Source organism: Homo sapiens, chromosome 3 (genome assembly GCF_000001405.40).
Source record: "Homo sapiens chromosome 3, GRCh38.p14 Primary Assembly".
In the NCBI taxonomy this organism is placed as follows: Eukaryota; Metazoa; Chordata; class Mammalia; order Primates; family Hominidae; genus Homo; species Homo sapiens.
This window is the reverse complement of record NC_000003.12, coordinates 172,915,648-172,933,917: the sequence shown is the minus strand read 5'-3', so window position 1 is coordinate 172,933,917 and position 18,270 is coordinate 172,915,648. Positions and strand designations below refer to the sequence as shown.

At 37.7% G+C, this 18,270-nt stretch overlaps 1 protein-coding gene across 3 annotated transcripts in view; it reads left to right on the top strand.

The window, feature by feature from the left end:
* SPATA16 (spermatogenesis associated 16) overlaps positions 1-18,270 on the top strand; it is a 251,879-nt gene that overhangs the window by 207,318 nt on the left and 26,291 nt on the right. For 2 of the 3 annotated variants that reach the window (NM_031955.6, XM_006713778.4), the window contains exons 7-9: positions 8,426-8,572; positions 9,601-9,710; positions 17,437-17,601. In NM_031955.6, coding sequence (NP_114161.3) covers positions 8,426-8,572; positions 9,601-9,710; positions 17,437-17,601 — 422 coding nt within the window. Of the gene's footprint in view, positions 1-8,425; positions 8,573-9,600; positions 9,711-11,633; positions 11,757-17,436; positions 17,602-18,270 lie in introns of those variants that run through there. The other variant, XM_017007308.3, reaches the window with a different exon arrangement.

Here is an 18,270-nt window from a genome sequence, read left to right as displayed (position 1 = left end):
GTGCTTCCTAGAAATTCAACATGACAGTTTCATCTCTGTCTTACATCTCATCTATAGTAAGGATCCTATATTATTTGTAAGATATATTGAACTACTAGCTAAATCCCTGTATAAGGAATCTTTGGTTTCAAGTGGTAGGAATCACAGCTCAAACTGACTTAGTGAAGTCAGTTTTAAAGGGGCAGAACACATTGGAACACACTGATTTACATAACTTGAAGATCCACAGGTGGGACTGCTTTTAAGCATAGCTTGATCCAACCAATAGCTCACTTACTATCTCTCACCACTCTGTTTCCACAGTCAACTTGAGAATTTATTCTCAAATTCTACCTGGTGTTCCGCTAACTCTGCCATGCCCTCAAGTGCTAGCTTCTTGAATATAATAGCAACATTCTCAAATGCCATTACAGATCTCAAATCTCACTTATTACCAAGGAATAAGAGTGCCCCTTCCACACAATTCCCGGATCCCACTCTTTTGCATTGGCCCAAACTGCATCATATGCTTATGATTGAATGAATAACAGGGACCGAGGGAAATGGCATGGATTGATTGACTTGGTCAATTGGGTCTCACTTTTAGAGTAGGGGGTGATTGAGAGAATTCACCAAGGAATAAAAAGGGGAGGAGGAGAGAAATGCATGCCAGATAGCCAATTAACCAGTGATCATTCCAACTCTCATACAGTGCAAGAAGACATCAGTTTCAATGATGTGAGTCTAATAAACATTGAGAGGGAATCTTTAATGTTTGTATTTAATATCTTTAATGTTTGTATTGTCTCTAGTCTACTTTGATAAAAGTAGGATCAAGGAACTTCAGTGTAATAAAGCCCAGAATAAAGATCCAATACAGCTCATTAAACATAAAACTTTGGAATCAATAAGAATTTCAAATGAAAGAGAAATGAGCTGTGTATAAAATTCCTGTGGGATTATGTGTCTTTCTAAGTTTTTATGTGGGTTGCAAGAGAAAACTTAAATATACAAAAATTGATCTTGGAGAAGTAGACCACCAGCCTGAAGTGAAAATTAGGAATCTCGGGAATGAAAACCAATTTTTTTTCTATTTCTGTCTATAACTCTGAAATTATAATGAAGGTCAAAGGGAAATATAATTTATTGTACAATTTATTATCTATATAGTATACATATGACTTTCTCAGATATCAAATATAAAAATCAAAATATACTATCTGTTTTTAAAAGTAGAGACCATTTTATTATTTATGGGGGGGCAATAATAATAACAACTTTGCTTCAAAGTTGCCACCTTTTGCTATTTTCTTGCTGATGTGAATTTGTGGATAACTTCCAAGATAGAAGTATTAGCATTAAAAAGAGTACAAAATAAAACTCAGAACACGATTGAGAAAGAAGTAATGACAAAGTGTTGGCATTACGAAGGTACTGTAGAAACGAAAGTCTGAAACTGATCAGTAAAAAGGAGTCATATAAAACTTACATGGTCCTATCTCACACTAAACAATCAGGACCTTAAAAATGAGATTTTGCTTTAACCTAAATGTCAGAACATTTTGTTATGGACAAAGTTCAGGGAAATGACACAGACACCAGAAAAGAGAGGAGAAAATGAAACTTATAGAAAAGTAATGATAGACCCCAACAAATCTGCATCTTTCTAAAAAAGTTTTTAAATCTCTATGATTTTTCTTTTTAAGAAACTGCTTTGCAATGTTCCTTCATGATCTGTTGGCTGTGGTTATGATGAGGTGTCCAACAGAAAATACAGATAACAATAGTGTCTATGCTTAGTGCTTTATTTCCATAGAGCTTAAAATTTATTTTATGGATATTTAACTACATAACAAATACAGCTATCCCTCACATATATAGATGAGTCTGTTCATCTACAGTCTATATTTCATGTTTTTGCAGATGTTTTTCTGATGCTGCCATTGGTTGCACTAAGCCAAACTCTCCCCATTAATCCAATCTTTTGTGACTGAGTTCATATTTCCCAGAGAAAAAGCTGCAGCAAGCCAACTATAAAACTAATTTTTCCATCCAGGCAAAGCTGCTCTGTTCATTTGAGCATCTACTCTACTGAGTCACACAGTACAAATTATTTTACTTCACTCACCCTTCATAAGGTGAACAGAACCCATTTGGGGTTTAGGCAAAATGAAGAACAAAGATAAGGTGATTTTTTTTCTAAGTTTAGTAACAGAAAATAAATCATATCTCAGAAGCTCTAGATATTTTATTAGTTTTGATTTTTTGCAGTTCTATTCTTATTTGGACCATTAAAAATTCAAGATTTGGGAATGTATGTTTTCAGATTAAATTCAAATGTTGATTGAGCATCTGCTAGGTGCTTGAGGCATGAAGATAATTTAAAGATGTGGCCAGGCACAGTGGCTCACACCTGTAATCCCAGTGATTTGGGAGGCCAAGGCAGGGGCATCGCTTGAGGCCAGGAGCTCAAGACCACTTTGAGCAACATAGCAAGACCCCATCTCTACTAAAAATTAAACAAAAATATATTAACTGGGCATGGGGGCATGTACCTTTAGTCTCAACTTCTCTGGAGTCTGAGGCAGGAGGATTGCCTGAGCCCTGAAGTTCAAGGTTACAGTGAGCTATGATTGCATTACTGCACTCCAGCATAAGTGACAGAGTAAGACCCTATTTCAAAAATGAAAACCAAAAATTAAACAAAAAAGATGGGATCTTGAAGAGGATTAAGAGTTGTCAGGGTGTTAAGACATGCCCCTATGAAACAGGAGATTCACTCTGGAGTGAACATAAATGTTCCTTATGAGTTTGAGGCCGAGCACGGTGGCTCACGCCTGTAATCCCAGCACTTTGGGAGGCCCAGGTGGGTGGATCACCTGAGGTCAGGAGTTCGAGACCAGCCTGCCCAACAAGGCGAAACCCCATCTCTACTAAAAATAACAAAAATTAGCTGAGCACGGTGGCAGGCGCCTGTAATCCCAGCAACTCAGGAGGCTGAGGCAGGAGAATCGCCAGAAGGTAGAGGTTGCAGTGAGCCAAGATGGTGCCATTGCACTCCAGCCTGGGCAACAAGAGTGAAACTCCCTCTCAAAAAGGTGGCTCACGCCTGTAATCTCACCACTTTGGGAGGCCAAGGCGGGTGGATCACGAGGTCAGGAGATGGAGACCATCCTGGCTAACATAACCCCATCTCTACTAAAAATACAAATATTAGCCAGGTATGGTGGCAGGCAACTGTAGTCCCAGCTACTCGGGAGGCTGAGGCAGGAGAATGGTGTGAACCCAGGAGGTGGAGCTTGCAGGGAGCTGAGATCGCGCCACCGCACTCCAGCCTGGGCGACAGAGCGAGACTCCATCTCAAAAAAAAAAAAAAAAAAAAAAAGAGTTTGAATGGAAGATTGGAAGATACTGTAATATTCAGGAAACCCTTTATGAGCTAGATGGGACTTAGACACATCTGGAAGGACAGTGATAGACTGAATAAAGGAAAAATGGGGAGACTAGGTAGTTGTTTCTGAGTGGAAAATCACAAGCAAAAGTTCAGAGGCCAGATAAGCAAAGGCAGTGAAATCAGCAGAGCTGGTTATAAAGGTTGATACTAGAGAAAATGTAAGAATCATGGCTAGATTGTGAAGCAGATGCACACTGCTGAGAGCCTTGAATGCCAGGAAAGGAAACATCTCCAGAGTTCCTGAGGAAGGATGTGACAGTGAAAAAGGCAGGTGATGTATCAAAAATATTCATCGAGTGGTGATGTAGTGATGTATTGGCATGAAACAACACTGGTAGCAGTGAGACTGGTGGGGAAACTCTTCAATAATCCAGATGTTATGTGATGAGAAATTTGGCCAAGATAATAGCAATGATAATGCAAAGAAACAGGCTGATATGGGATGCATTGCAATGTGCAGGTTTAATTAGCTTTTGAGAGACTCACTAAATGGGGAATAAGAGGAAAGAAAAGTCAACAATGGCTTCAAATTTTTAAGCCAGAATAATTGGGTGAATAATGGCTTTCCTCATAATAGGCTGGTGAAGAAAAAGGAAAAGAGAAGTTGTAGAGATTATGAAAATCACTTTTGAGGAACATATTTGCTCTATTTTAACTAACTTTTGGAGTGATGAGCAAATAGCAATGTCCCAGTAGGTATTTGGAAATGCCATGTTGGAATTTGGTGGAAATTTCCAGCTGCGACTGTAGCTTTGATGTCCAATTTTTTGGTTAAAAATAGTAGCCACAGACAAGACTAGAGATATTCCCAAGGGTGTATGTATGAAGAGAGTATCAGTGAGCTGGGGACAGCTGTGAGGAGCACTGAATGAGAAGGCAGGAGGAGAAAGGGGAATGTGTGTGTGTGTGTCAGAGAGAGAGAGAGAGACTACTACTGAACTCCAGGAAGATGATTTTTAAGGAGAGGACAATAATACCAGAAAGTCAAGAAGCCAGAATAGCTTGAGGACTTGCAAGGTGGTCAGTTTCAGCCTTCTGGAGTACAATAAAATATTTCTGAAGAAGGGAAAACTGTTTACCTCTTTCAGTGAAAGTTTGACATCTTTTCTCTAGGGGAAAAGAAATTGAAAGATTATGTTTCTGTGAGAAATTTAATCTGCATAATCTATCTTTGATATTATTTTCTAAAGCATCCACTTTGCTAATGGTAAAAATTTGGAGCTGTTCACACATGCAAACTGATTTTTTTTTAATAATAAATTCAGTCATAGTCATATAAATTTCATCTCCAATTGGGATAAATTGTAAAGGAATGCATTAAAAGATGTGTTTCTCCCAAGTTTCTTTTGACATGACAGGAGCAAAGAAGACATTTTTTAATCAATTCTACTTTCCTACAGAAGGGTAATATAATCTGGTTAACTTTTATATCCATCAGAGGCACAGAGCTTTTCGGACACAGGTAGAGGTTTATGAGCACAAAATCGAGAACAATTAGCACTCAAATTAATGTTACATGAGATTCAACATCTGGTAAGTGTGTTGTCATTTTGGGTCATAGACCACCTGTTAGGCTAAATGTTCATACAACAGCAATTTACCCTGCATACAAATGGAAAAAGAATGATACTTGAAAAAAAATTTTTTTCTAAATTTAACCATATGTATATAGGAGCCTCCTACATTTTAAAACTTCAACTGGAAGTTAATAATGGGTCAAATACTCACAGGATGAAGCATATAGGATCAGAAGGAACAGAGAATATTTACATTTTTGCAAGCATGTTTTATAATAAATTAGCCATAGTATAGTACTGATACTCGTTTCTATTCCATCTAATCACTGCCAATAATAGTATTGCTCTCCTATCTATCTATCAAATATTTAAGGACAAGAAGAGGTAAACCATTCAAAGTCTTTATGCTATCTATCTACATAAGGGGGTCCTCAAACATCAGGCTGGTTTTGGCAATAGTGCTGCACCAGAAAATGCCAAATCTCGAGGTTACTCAGCTGCCTTTTCATACAATCCAGTTATTGGCAACTTCAGTAAAACTAGTAAGCTCTCCCCTTGCTAATATTTCAGCAAAATAGTATTCGCTTGCAAAGAGAGGCGTGTCTGTGATGATCAGCTGCAGATTTCAAAAGCAAAGAAACTTCCTGCACTTTTGAAACTGAAAAGTAGAAATCACATTTTTACCTTGTTTATAAAAATGAGCCATCCTTTTAAAAAGAGGCATTTTGTAACACAACCACCAACTAAAGAAGCATCTAAGGCTAGGTGCAGTGGCTCATGCCTATAATCCCAACACTTTGGGAGGGTGTGTTGGGCGGATCACCTGAGGTCAGGAGTTCAAGACCAGCTTGACCAACTTGGAGAAACCTCATCTCTACTAAAAATACAAAATTAGCTGGGTGTGGTGGCGCGTGCCTGTAATCCTAGCTACTCGGGAGGCTGAGGCAGGAGAATTGCTTGAACCCAGGAGGCGGAGTTTGCAGTGAGCCAAGATAGTGCCATTGCACTCCAGCCTGGGTAGACAGAGCAAGACTCCATCTCAAAAAAAAAGAAAAAAAAAGAAGAAGAAGCATCTAATACTTGCAATCTGTATGTTAAGATGCCTAAAAGTCACTCTGTTAGTTTGGGAACTCTTCAGCATTTAGTATACTTTTCTAGATAGAGAGTGTTTACTGGCATTCCTATGGCATGTTTCCCGTCGATTTTTATAACCATGACCCTAGACTGTCACAAGGATAGTTTTGAGTGGTAAGCCTTTGTACTTTGGCATCCAGCTGCCTGATTTTCAATTCTGGTCCCTATGCTCAGTGTGTGATCTTGGGCAACTTTGGAACCTCTGGAAGCTCCAGCTTTATCATCTGTAAGGTGGGCCTGATAATATGCCCTGCTTCCCACTCCATGATTGAAAAAGATAACCCTGATAATGTGTGTGGCACAGAAGAAGCGCCAGATGAATATTAGCCCTCACTAACAGTAAGGGGTGACCTTGATCCTAAGTCACCAAAGAAAAACTAACATATGTTTGGGATTAAGATGTTTTTGCTCTGTGTTTGGGTTTAAAAGGCATTTTGTGATATTTTAATTATTTCAATAATCAGCATATATTTTAACTCTCAATTTGACAGACATACACTGTTTACTTAACCAAACTGTGACAAATAACTTACTGCAGTGTTTTCCAAACAGTGTTTTGAAAAACTGAGGTTCTGTGGAGAAGCTCGAGGTGGCATCTGTGAGTAGGGTATAGAACAGAGTTCAGTAGTGAGGATGGGTAATCAGTGTGCCAGGATTCAAACAGAACATCCCTACTTTTTATTGGCTTTTAATATTGGGCTTGTCAGAAAATTTTAGTTTGGACAAAAGGTTCTGAGGCTTAAAAAGGGGAATGGTGTTAAAAAAAACACTCGTGGTGTACTATTTTATTTTTAAAAGAAGTATTACAGACAAATAGTGAAGGCTATATTTGAACAATTACCATTTGAGTTCTGAGTCTACGTTAATATTTTACCTTTAACTAAACCATCATTCAATGATATTTGGGATTTTGCCTTTCCCCCTTTCTGGCAGTGTTAAACGAAGAGGGCTTACCTCTCTGTTCATCATCCTTCGTTTGAGAAATCTATTTTAATAAACCAAAGCCTTGTTACTCAAAATGGAAATGAATTAAGTGAATCTTGCCTCCAGGTCCCCAAGAGGTTAGCCTTTGTACTTGGGCTTTCAATTCTGGTCCCTCTGTTTGCTCAATTCGTGATCTTGGGTATGTTTGTAACCTCTTCAAGCACCAGTCTTATCATCTGTAAGGTGGGCCTCTATCCCTACCCCAAAAGTAACTTAGTGCCAAGCGATCTTGAAGAAGGGTGCAGTGGCTGTGCCTGTGGTGTCTGGAGTCAGACTACCTGGTTGTGAATCTGGCTTTGCCTGCTTTGGAGCTGTGCTGTTGGGCAAGTTACTTCCCATCTGTGTCCCTCAACCTCTTATCCATAAAGTGAGGACAATAGCACCAACCTTGTGAAGTTATTATGTGGAATTCAAAGAACAGTGCACACAAAACTCTTAGAACAGGGGCAGATAGAAAATAAGTACTCAGTAAATATTAGCTCTTACAGTCATTAAGAATTGAGTCTGTTTTAGAACCATTTTCATGACACGAATTATTTCCAAGTCTAATTACAATAGTCAGTACATTTATCATTTTAAATTTCCTCCTATGGCTAGATGAAGGATGGTAACTAAATTAATTAGCTTTATATTTTAATTCTCACTTGTAATTTTTTTCCTTTTTTTTTTATAACTAACATTATTTCCTTACATCTTAAGCTAGGAAGAGAAAAATCAAATTCTCAGCTGAGCGCAGTGGCTCATGCCTGTAATCTCAGCATTTTGGGAGGCCAAGGCAGGTAGATCACCTGAGGTCAGGAGTTTGAGACTAGCCTGGCCAACATGGTGAAATCCCGTCTCTACTAAAAATACAAAAATCAGCTGGGCGCGGTGGCGGGCGCCTGTAATCCCAGCTACTCAGGAGGCTAAAGCAGGAGAATCGCTTGAACCCAGGAGGTAGAGGTTGCAGTGAGCCAAAATTGAGCCATTACATTCCAGCCTGGGCGACAAGAGCAAGACTCCATCTAAAAAAAAAGAAAAATCGAAGTCTCTTGTAAAGAGTCAAAGCAAAAAATAATAAGCCTGCAAGCTGGTCCTGAATGTCTATTATTCTGAAGACGAGGAAAGATGACCATGTGATCTAGCCATATTTTATTGTTATGCTTTGTGTATGCTTAGATTACTAAGAAAAGTGTAATGAAATATGATTTTGATATGTTATCTATTTGACCTTTTGATACACATAATATTACTTCATACCTTTCACATTTATAGTTATTATTTTTTCCAAGTACAATTCCTGAAATCTGGGGGGGAAAACCCTAAAAATATTAAAACCATAACAAAGCCTCTTAGTTCTCTTTCTGTCATATTTCAGATCTTCAAGCACTCCACATGTTGCCTCAGACAGTTGACTGGTCATCTTTTCCTCCCCAACAATATCTCTTGACTCTTGGGTTCAAAAACAAAGATGATGGAAAATTTTTGGAAAAAATATCAAGCAGGAAGCTGCCGATATTCACAGGTAAATCATCTGAACCTACAAGGTCTAGCATATAGTAGCCTGTGATGAGTTTTGGGCCCCAAAAAATGTTTGAGTTAAAATTAACTCCTTCTAATCTTCTTTGTGGGTTAGTTAACAATACCTGGAATTCTGGTTCCAGGAAATCTTTCCCCAAGAACACACACAATCCTGGAATGCCCACCCCCCTCACTCTAATCATCTAATCATCTTACCCCACCCACCGCAGTCATCAATGCCTGATCATACAGTGCTTAAAGAATACTAGTTTTCATCATTATCAATTAGCAGAGGTAGAAGAAAATTATGCAATAAAACTACTATATGAAATCAAAAATATAGCCAATGACAATCTTAAATTACTTGTATTCTCTGTTGTTGTATTAATGTCTCTTCCCCGCTTTTCTTATGTAATTAGCCAAGAGTTTAGATCTCCTGGAGAGTATTACAGTTAAATGGTGTTCAGTAATCCGAGTCGAAACTTTCAAAACTCAAGAAAATATTCACATGGAGTTGAAATCTCAAACTTATGGGCTGAATTCATGACCAGGTTAAATTTATTCCTGCAGCTCTAACCACATAATTAAGTATTTGTGTTTTGTCTGGCACTGTATCCTCTGAGGCTTATCTGAACTTTGAGCTACATTCAAAGTCAATGGATCTGCACACTTGAATAATACCTAGGAGGAACAAGACAAGAATCAGACACATTTATGACGCATTTTTTCACAACTCAGGAAAAACAGAGTCTGAAGAGATAGGTGAATTGTTATAGGCTGTCTCTTAGATCTCTCAATCAAGAAACACAACAAAATAAATAAATGATAGTGTCGAAAGGGCAGCATCTCCTCTGCCTTTCTCCCCATAGATCTTTCTTTGTTATACATATGGTCTAGGGATGGGACTAGTTTCTATACTAAAGATTTTGTATCTATTAATATTGAGATATTCGTTTATAGCTTGCTAAAGAAAATATTTTGAAATGGAAGTCTGGAGAAAATAGTATAAAAGTTTATTGTTACAATTTTTAGAGCATAAAACACCTTTCGGTCTGACCAGAGAAGATACAGTGAGGCAAATGGAGACAATGGGGAAGCGAATCTTGCCAATATTGGATTTTATTAGAAGCACCCAATTGAATGTAGGTATATGAGTCTTTTATATTTGTCCAATGTACAAATATTAGAGAATTCTAGAAGTATATAAGGCTTACATGGCAAATAGTGCAAGTGTTAGGGGATTTTGGAAACGTTCATAGTAAATCTCATTTGCAAAAACAAGCAAATTTTAGCTAATGATTTTATTTCTGTTATTCTAAAACATACTATAATGCTACACTTTGCAATTTCAAGCACTTATTAGGATAGTGTCTCTTTAAAGAACCTTTTCTTTATGCCTTCCTAATATCTAATTCAACATTGCAGTGAATTTCTCATTTCAAATCAATAAGAAAATTTTAGCAAGCACAATGTTTTCTCTATTTCACTTATTGAGCTATTGCATATAACCATCTCATTACCTACACAAGAATTCAGACCTTTTCAAGATAGTGCCTTCATACCACACTGATGAATTGGATGCTTCTCTAAACATTGGCAATTGATCTTTATATAGCCATAAGGTAAATTATCTAATCTCTTTCTATGATCCAGGAAAAATATGCCTTTTCTACTTTTCAGTCTTAAAGAGCCCAAAATAAGACCTGAATTACACTGCTATTTTACAAAATTTAAGCCATTGTACTGAAAGTATATAAAGAGAACTTCTCATTAATAGGCTATAAAGGCTGCAGATTTCTCCTTTTTTAATATTTTTCAAAAGGCTTGTAAGTTGGAAATTTTAAAGAATTTCCTTCCTGTTCCCTCTTTTGTGTTACATCATTGATTTGATGTTCTTACCTTAAAAGGGGAGCTAAGAGGGTCATCACAAACAGCTACTTAACATCTGTTCAGCAGTTTATCTGCTCAATAACATTATTCAGCATTTTGGAAAAGCTAAAAAACACCTAATCTGTTTGCACGATTTGCGATTCCATGTATTACAAATACAAAAACACATTTTCACTGATGTTCCTACCACAAAGCTACCCCTTCCCCACAACCATGTTTCAATTATCTCCTCTATATTTCTATTAATAAGAAATCCATCTCTACCTTAGTCAGCTCAGGCTGCCATAACAAAACACCAACCTAAAGACCCACACACATCATTACCCTCATCATCAGGCCCATGCAAGCAGGGAAAGCTTTGCTAACCAGAACCATCACCGTGTAGCATTATTTCATCTCATCCGTGCATGGCTAGCCTAGCAGAGCCAGTGTATCGGGTGCTGTGGATGTGATCTGCCTGTGGCCTAGCTCTTTGTTTTTTAGTTTTTAGTTTTTTGGGTTTTGGGGTTTTTTGTTTGTTTTTTGTTTTTTGTTTTTTGAGGCAGAGTCTCACCCTGTCACCCGGGTTGGAGTGCAGTGGTGCGGTCTTGGCTCATTGCAACCTCCACCTCCAGGGTTCAAATGATTCTCCTGCCTCAGCCTCCAGAGTAGCCGGGATTACAGCATGTGCCACCATGCCTAGCTAATTTTTTTGTATTTTTAGTAGAGACAGGGTTTTGCCATGTTGGCCCGGCTGGTCTTGAACTCCTGGCCTCAAGTGATCCACCTGCCTTGGCCTCACAAAGTGCTGAGATTACAGGCATAAGCTACCATGCCTGGCCAGGCCTGGCTCTTTGAAGCAATGCCTGCCTTACCTTGTCACTTGTCAGGAAACTGACCACATCATCTGTTGCCAGCTCCGATTTCACAATGTGAACATAGGTTGGGCCTTACTGGGCATTATGCACTTTTTCAGTGTTCTTAACTCATTTTCTTATCACCTTTTAAAGAGTATTCTGGCCATTTGGAAATTTGTTTAGACATGAATCTTTTATGTGACTATAAAGGAGACTTTAAAACCATAATTAATGAGATTCTTAACATCTAATTAATAACTCAGTCTTCTCATATTGAGTCTCAGTACCACTTTGCTGTCTGCAAGGAATTTCATCAACTTTCCTATGTTTGCTTTTAAGGGAAATAACAGTTTTTGGAAGATTGTTTCAAAGAGTTTTAATGAAATTGAAGTAGGTAAGCCTGAAAGTGCCCAGGGATCACAAATATATCTAAATATCAGGTACTAGGTTTCTTATTATTTGCTCAGCCACAGCTTCATAAGGGAGGACTGATAAAATTGGCTGCAAAGGTAAACTAGCTTAATGAAGCAAATAATGAATTGGTGACTAGAAATTATTCCTACACGGTACCATTGACTGTAACCCAAGGAGCCCTCTGTAGTGTTTTTAAGACCCTTCAAGGTGTTCTTTCTTTCTTGTCAGATACCAAATGACATTCACTTGAATATTTAGGCATTGAATTGTCATTATTTGTTACCCTAATTTGTGATACGTGTAGACAAAGACTTTTGCCCAAGGCCATGCTCTGGCCAAGTAACCCTAGGGCAAGTCACTTAACCTCTGAACTATTTTTTTCTCATTTATAAAATAGGCTGATAACTGCCAGGCCCACTTCACAGAGTTGTTGTGAACCATAAATACATAATCCATGTTCTTGAAGCACTTTGTAAAGTATTAAGAATTTTAGTTTTAATTATTTGTATTGGTTTTGGTTTGCTTTGACAAAGAGACTGTTTTACAGACCTTCTTTTTTTCTTTATCCAAGCTGTGTAGTTTGAAATTACCTATTTTTCTTCTAATATGAAGATTCCACTCGTGTTCTGTGAATTTTGATTTTTTTTTTCCTTAGCTTACTTTCCTTTGATCAGTGATTTGCTCAGATCCCTTCACTCAGGCAGGATTTGAGATGCCATTTCCAGCCATGAACTGGACTCAGGACTGCAGTCTTGTTGACAGCAGGCTGTGACCATGCTCGTGTGACAAGCAGCCTCACATGTCTTGGTAGAACAGAGCCAATATCAAAGACACTTCCATTAGAAGACAGTGAGTGACCAGTGTCTTGTGCAACACATTTATCTTAAAGAATTTTAGATTTTTCAGTCATCCTTAATACTAGTGGCTAAGGCTTTAGTTTACATTTCTGTTGTCTGTTTCAAACAGACAACTCTTTACCCTAGTAGAATGTCACATTTTCATCAAGGCCTAATGGCTAGGAAAAAATTGCCTGTAATCCCAGCACTTAGGGAGGCAGAAGTGGAAGGACAGCTTGAGCCCAGAAATTCAAGACCTGCCTGGACAACGTAGTGAGACTCCATTCTACCCAAAATGGAAAAAAAAAAAAAAAGACAAAAACAAAAAAAGTGGAACTAATGGCTAGGAAATATACTTTGCCTCATACCATATATGTTCAGAGATGTTTAATTCATTTGGACAAAGTTATTTAATGAAAATGGGCTTGGAATATGAAAATGCAATGCATTAAAACTTCAGCATTCATAACAGCAGGAGACCCAAAAGATGATACTAGTCCTTGACATAATACCATGACCAGAATCAGTTACACAATGTTTTATTATCACATTTATACTGTCACATAAATAATGATAAATATGTAGATTTCTAAACAATACTTAAACAATGCCAAGAATTCTCATGATCTGTTCCCTAAACATATTGAATATTTAGTCACTTTGTAAATATTAGGTTTATAATACCTACCTAATATCTAATTAGAAAAAAGTTAACTTGGCAATAATACACTAAATTATAATATCATAGGGAATATTTTTTGGCTGCCCTAATTTTCAATTTTTCTCCATTAAACTAAAAGATACATATGTTTGTTCTCCACAAATTACATATAAAGAGATAGTATAGCAACTTACTCTCAACCAAAGCATTTTAAATATAAAGTGAGTAAAATTTTCTTCTAAAGCTAACAAAACACTCTTGCTTCCAAACCCTTGAAATATTTGATAGTCAAGAAGTTTTCTTTACTCAAACATATCTTTTTTAAAGTACAGAGCAGTCCTGGTCATTAACTAGGTGCTGACTGCATGCAGAAATTTCTACTTTGGAACTATGGTTTAGGAGAAGCACATGCATAGTGCTCTGCAATTTAAAAAGCATTTTTCCCTCACATTCTCTAATTTGACCCTCACAATTTGGTGACATTGTGTCACCTTCATTTTACCAATGAGGAAACTGTGGCTCAGAGTAGTGATATATTCAAGTTCACACAGCTAGGGCTCAAAATCAGAGCTTCAGAATATTGTGCCAATATTCTTTTACTAAATCATATTACATCTCTTTGATTTAAAGTTATGATCCTTGCCAGAGGCAAAACATGCATAACACACAACATAGGAATGATTCCATAGCTGGATTCAATTTTTAAAAAATGAACATATAGGCTGGGCGCAGTGGTTCACGCCTGTAATCCCAGCACTTTGGGAGGCCGAGGTGGGTGGATCACTTGAGGCCAGGAGTTTGAGACCAGCCTGACCAACATGGTGAGACTCTGTCTCTATTAAAAACACACACACAAACACACAAAAAAATAGTCAGATGTGGTGGCGCATGCCTGTAGTCCCAGCTATTCAGGAGGCTGAAGCAAGAGAATTGCTTGAACCTGGGAGGCAGAGTCTGCAGTGGGCCGAGATCACACCACTGCACTCCAGCCTGTGCAACAGAGCAAGACTCTGCCTCAAAAAAAAAAAATAAAGAATTAAAAAAAATTAAAATGAACATATAATGTACAAATTACACTCCAAAAATTAACTGTAAAAAGCTTGCTAAAGAACATGAATTTTCAACTCTTGCTATGAGGTGGTGAATACAGTCGGTAAATACGTTTCCTGGTCTCAGAGAGGTTTCTATGTGTCAGACAATGATTCTCTTTACACTTCTGACCCTGGTTTCCTTATCTTTGTAGATTAGTCTACTAGGTACACAATACATGGCCAAACAAGGATGATTCTAGCATTTTAAGAGTTATAATCTACAATATGATACAACCTTGCTGGTGACTTCTAATCCTACTGAACCTCAACCCCATTCAGCCAGCAGCCCTGCTGCTATGGTATTTTTCATTTTCTGGATTTCTGTCCTAATTATTTCACATGCTACTGGATGGCACTATACTTTTCCATTCATTAACTTTATTGGCTGCTGTCAGTTTCAAACCTTATGTACTGTGCTTTCTGGGCTAAATGTTAAAGAGTTAAAATAATCAAATCTCTTGCCATGCATGAAGCCGCCTTCACAGGATGACTTGCCAAAAAATGACCTAACTAACCATGTTTTTAATACTTCATTAATTTTACTTTTAATTTCTTCCAAGTGAAGCATAAAAAATGTTTACATATGCACATTTGAAATGAACAATAATAAGTGTTTCCTACCCCTTTTTTGCAATGAATGTTTCTGTATCTTATGCCAAATGGAAATACATTCCAAAGACTTGGACTCCGCTTTTCAGCAGTATAATATAGTGCCACTTATTTGCCAAATATTTATTTGTAACTGCTATTAAATCTTGACAGTTCTCTGACTGAAACCTTCACTTGAACTTGCTATCACCTAGCCCTCATTGTACCTGTGTGAGGTTTTAGCTTCAGTCGTGGCCACTTTATTACACTCTCTCCAGCAGCTAAGGAGCCCTTTGATCATTCCTGAAGTCTCACTGGGAGGGCTACCTGCCTTTAGATTTAGTCTTTGTTAGCATTAGATATTTAAGCTAATTCCTATTTTTTATTATTTTCTTTATTTCCTTAAAGCAACAGCATTAAAACATTTCTGCCACACTAGATATCAATTTTATTTCTTTTTCACTTTGTCTTTCAAAAACCCCTATCTTGGATAGGTAAAATATTAATCTACAGTTTCCTGATAACCAAAACTGCATTTGGCTTCGGGGGGAGGAGGGGTGACTATTAGCAGTCAACTGTATTCTTTCCCTGTTATCTTATTCAAATAGAGCACTTCCTGTTTTGTTATGCATCCAACAATCAGGCTAAAACTGTTGCCTTCCACTATGTTTATTTTCCTGACGTTTTGGAAAATTACACTGACAGATTATGTTCCTGAGCAGCCTGCAGTTGTTTCTGCTCTTTAGGGTTGAGTCACTACACCACTTTCCTACAACTAGCCCCATTGTTTATTTTAAAGAAGGACAAAGAAAGCAATTTTTCTTCAGAATGAAAACCGTTTCTCCTCCAACTTGCTTTCCTCTATTTGACAGAATGCCATTGTTTAGCTACATGTTTAAACTGATGGGTAGGCTAGGTTTTTCATCAATTCAGGAAGGAACCCCATATCTACCATTTGCAATCATCAATCTTATAGATTTATAGATTTTCAGATAAATGATTAATCAGAAAGAACAAATTAGTGTGAGTAAGAAGACATTCACTGAACAGCATATGTAGGTGTTAGGGACAAATAAAGCAGATACAGCACGATGGTGCCAGCCTTTCTTTATTTCCAAGATTCTAGAGAAAATGTCAGCTTCCAGAGGTTGCTGTCAGTCAGAATACGAGTGTGGCCTTTCAAAAAGAAGTGCATTCTAATTTTAAGTTGAAGTTCAGTAATATTAGTTTCTAGCAGTTTTTCTCCTTAGAGGAGATTCTCTTAAGAAAGTGAAATTATATGTCTGCCTTCTCTAATTTCTAGAAGAAATTCTGTTTCATAAGTATGCGCAAACCAAAATAGTCTTTACTCAGATACTAAGCTTTAAGGTGGTGGTTTGTCTCAAACTTCTGTTTGAGATATTTGAATATTTGGGGAGGCACCTAGCTGAAATTTGTATTTCTAGGGCCACATAACAAGAGATTGTGATTGGGTGAAGCCCAATATTCAGTTTGCTAACTGCCAAGTCCACAAGCGAGCATAGTGATTCTGGTGTAGGCAGTCCAGGGGGCCCCTGCTCTAAAGGGGCACTTGGTCACTTCTCTTCTGAGCACCAGGATGTAAAATGCAATTGCCAAACTAAGTCCTCTTTTGAATTCCCATTTCTCATCACCCTCTAAATGCAGCAGAAACTCAAGGCTTTTATGTTAACCCTTATATACCCCCAAATCAAAAGTACTTTTTCTTAAAGATAAACTTAAGAATTTCATGACTAACGTTGCCTCTCCTATCAAGCATTACAATTTGTATTAAACATTTTTATAGAAGATAATGTCTCCTCTTTTGTGGATGGCAGTAACAGGCACCTTGGTGGGCCACTTTTTTCTAAATGCGCCCCATCTTAACAAAGCCCAAAATGCCATGGGAGTTGGCAGTCCTTACAAAGGCACACAGTAGTCTGTGTCCAGATGGAACATGTTAGTTGTTGAAATGGTCCCAGTAGACAGAGGGAAGCTAGTCAAAAAGAAAAGGAGACTGTGCAAGGCTATCCAATAAGAACTGGAAATAAAAGCAGAGCTTAGAGGTTTCATGTAAGCTATTGGGGTAAACAGAATTCAACTTATACAACGTTTGTCAAGATTCAACTTGCATTAAAAAATTTTCTTTCAGATAAACAAGATAGTAGGCAACTCTTACCTTTTATGATGCTTTGGTGATATAGATAAAGTCGCCCCTTCTAGGCAGACACAGCTCTGTGGGATCACTCCTGGGTGAGTGAAGTGCAGATTCAAATTTAGTCCCCTCTTTTCCCCTCAGCCTAGCTCCCTAATGCAAGACAATCAGCAAATCCGTCTCAACAGTTCTCCAAAGGACTCCCTTTTATGTATATTTACCTACTAGAAAAAGAGGTATAAGACAATTCTGTAAAATGGTAGAAGGAAACATGTATTTGTACTAGATTCCGTTATTTCAAAAGATGTAAATACGTTATCACAAGCCCTGACTTCCAGCCCTGGGGAGAGGTCTATTTCCGTGGTTTTGTTCTAAAACATTTCTTTTACTTTGAGACTAGGGGAGTTTTCCTGCATCCTCAGGTGTGATGGAGAAGTTGCAATATGCCAGCCTCCTCAGCCAGCTGCAGAGAGTAAAGGAGCAGTCCCAGGTGATTAATCAAGCAATGGCAGAGCTAGCAACCATTCCCTACCTACAGGACATCAGTCAACAGGAGGCAGAATTGGTAAGTATTTTTCTTTGTTTAAGGGTTTCATAGGCCCAGAGCCAACAGAAAAGTGATATGGTCTGGGGAAAAAAAAAAAAAAAAATCCTGTGGTAATAAATGTAGCCTGAGGGCAAACTCCCAAACCTTCTTGAAGCATTCTAATGGCAAAACTGAAAAATGTAGGAAGGTGTGTGTCTGGTTTTTATTTGCTCACATTAACTAGCTTCCATTATTACAGCAAAAACGTTGTGATGTGTAAAAACATAGAAAGAGGCTGGTTATTTATATCATGTGTCAGGCTTCTGGTTTTTGGTAAAATGAGATTGTTTAATAAACTCCAAGATATATTGATATATGATTCTCTTTTATGAAAAAGTGAGAGGACAAAAGAGTAATTGCTGTATAGAAAAATGACCCTAGAAAATCATCTTTAGAGTTTTCTTAATCACTTCTAGGGTTAAAATAGATATTGGCAGTGCCAACACTAGTACACTTAGATAAATCAACAAAAGCTGTTTATTTGAAGGGAAAACATAGCTAGTCAAAATAGATGGGGTTTTTTTAGCTGAACTGATGAGTTTATTCAGAAAACCAGACACTTTAGCCACACACAGACCCAGGCAAAAACTAGTTGAAGGGATTCTCACAGAAATAATCTTCAGACAGATGTGCATATTATAACCATAA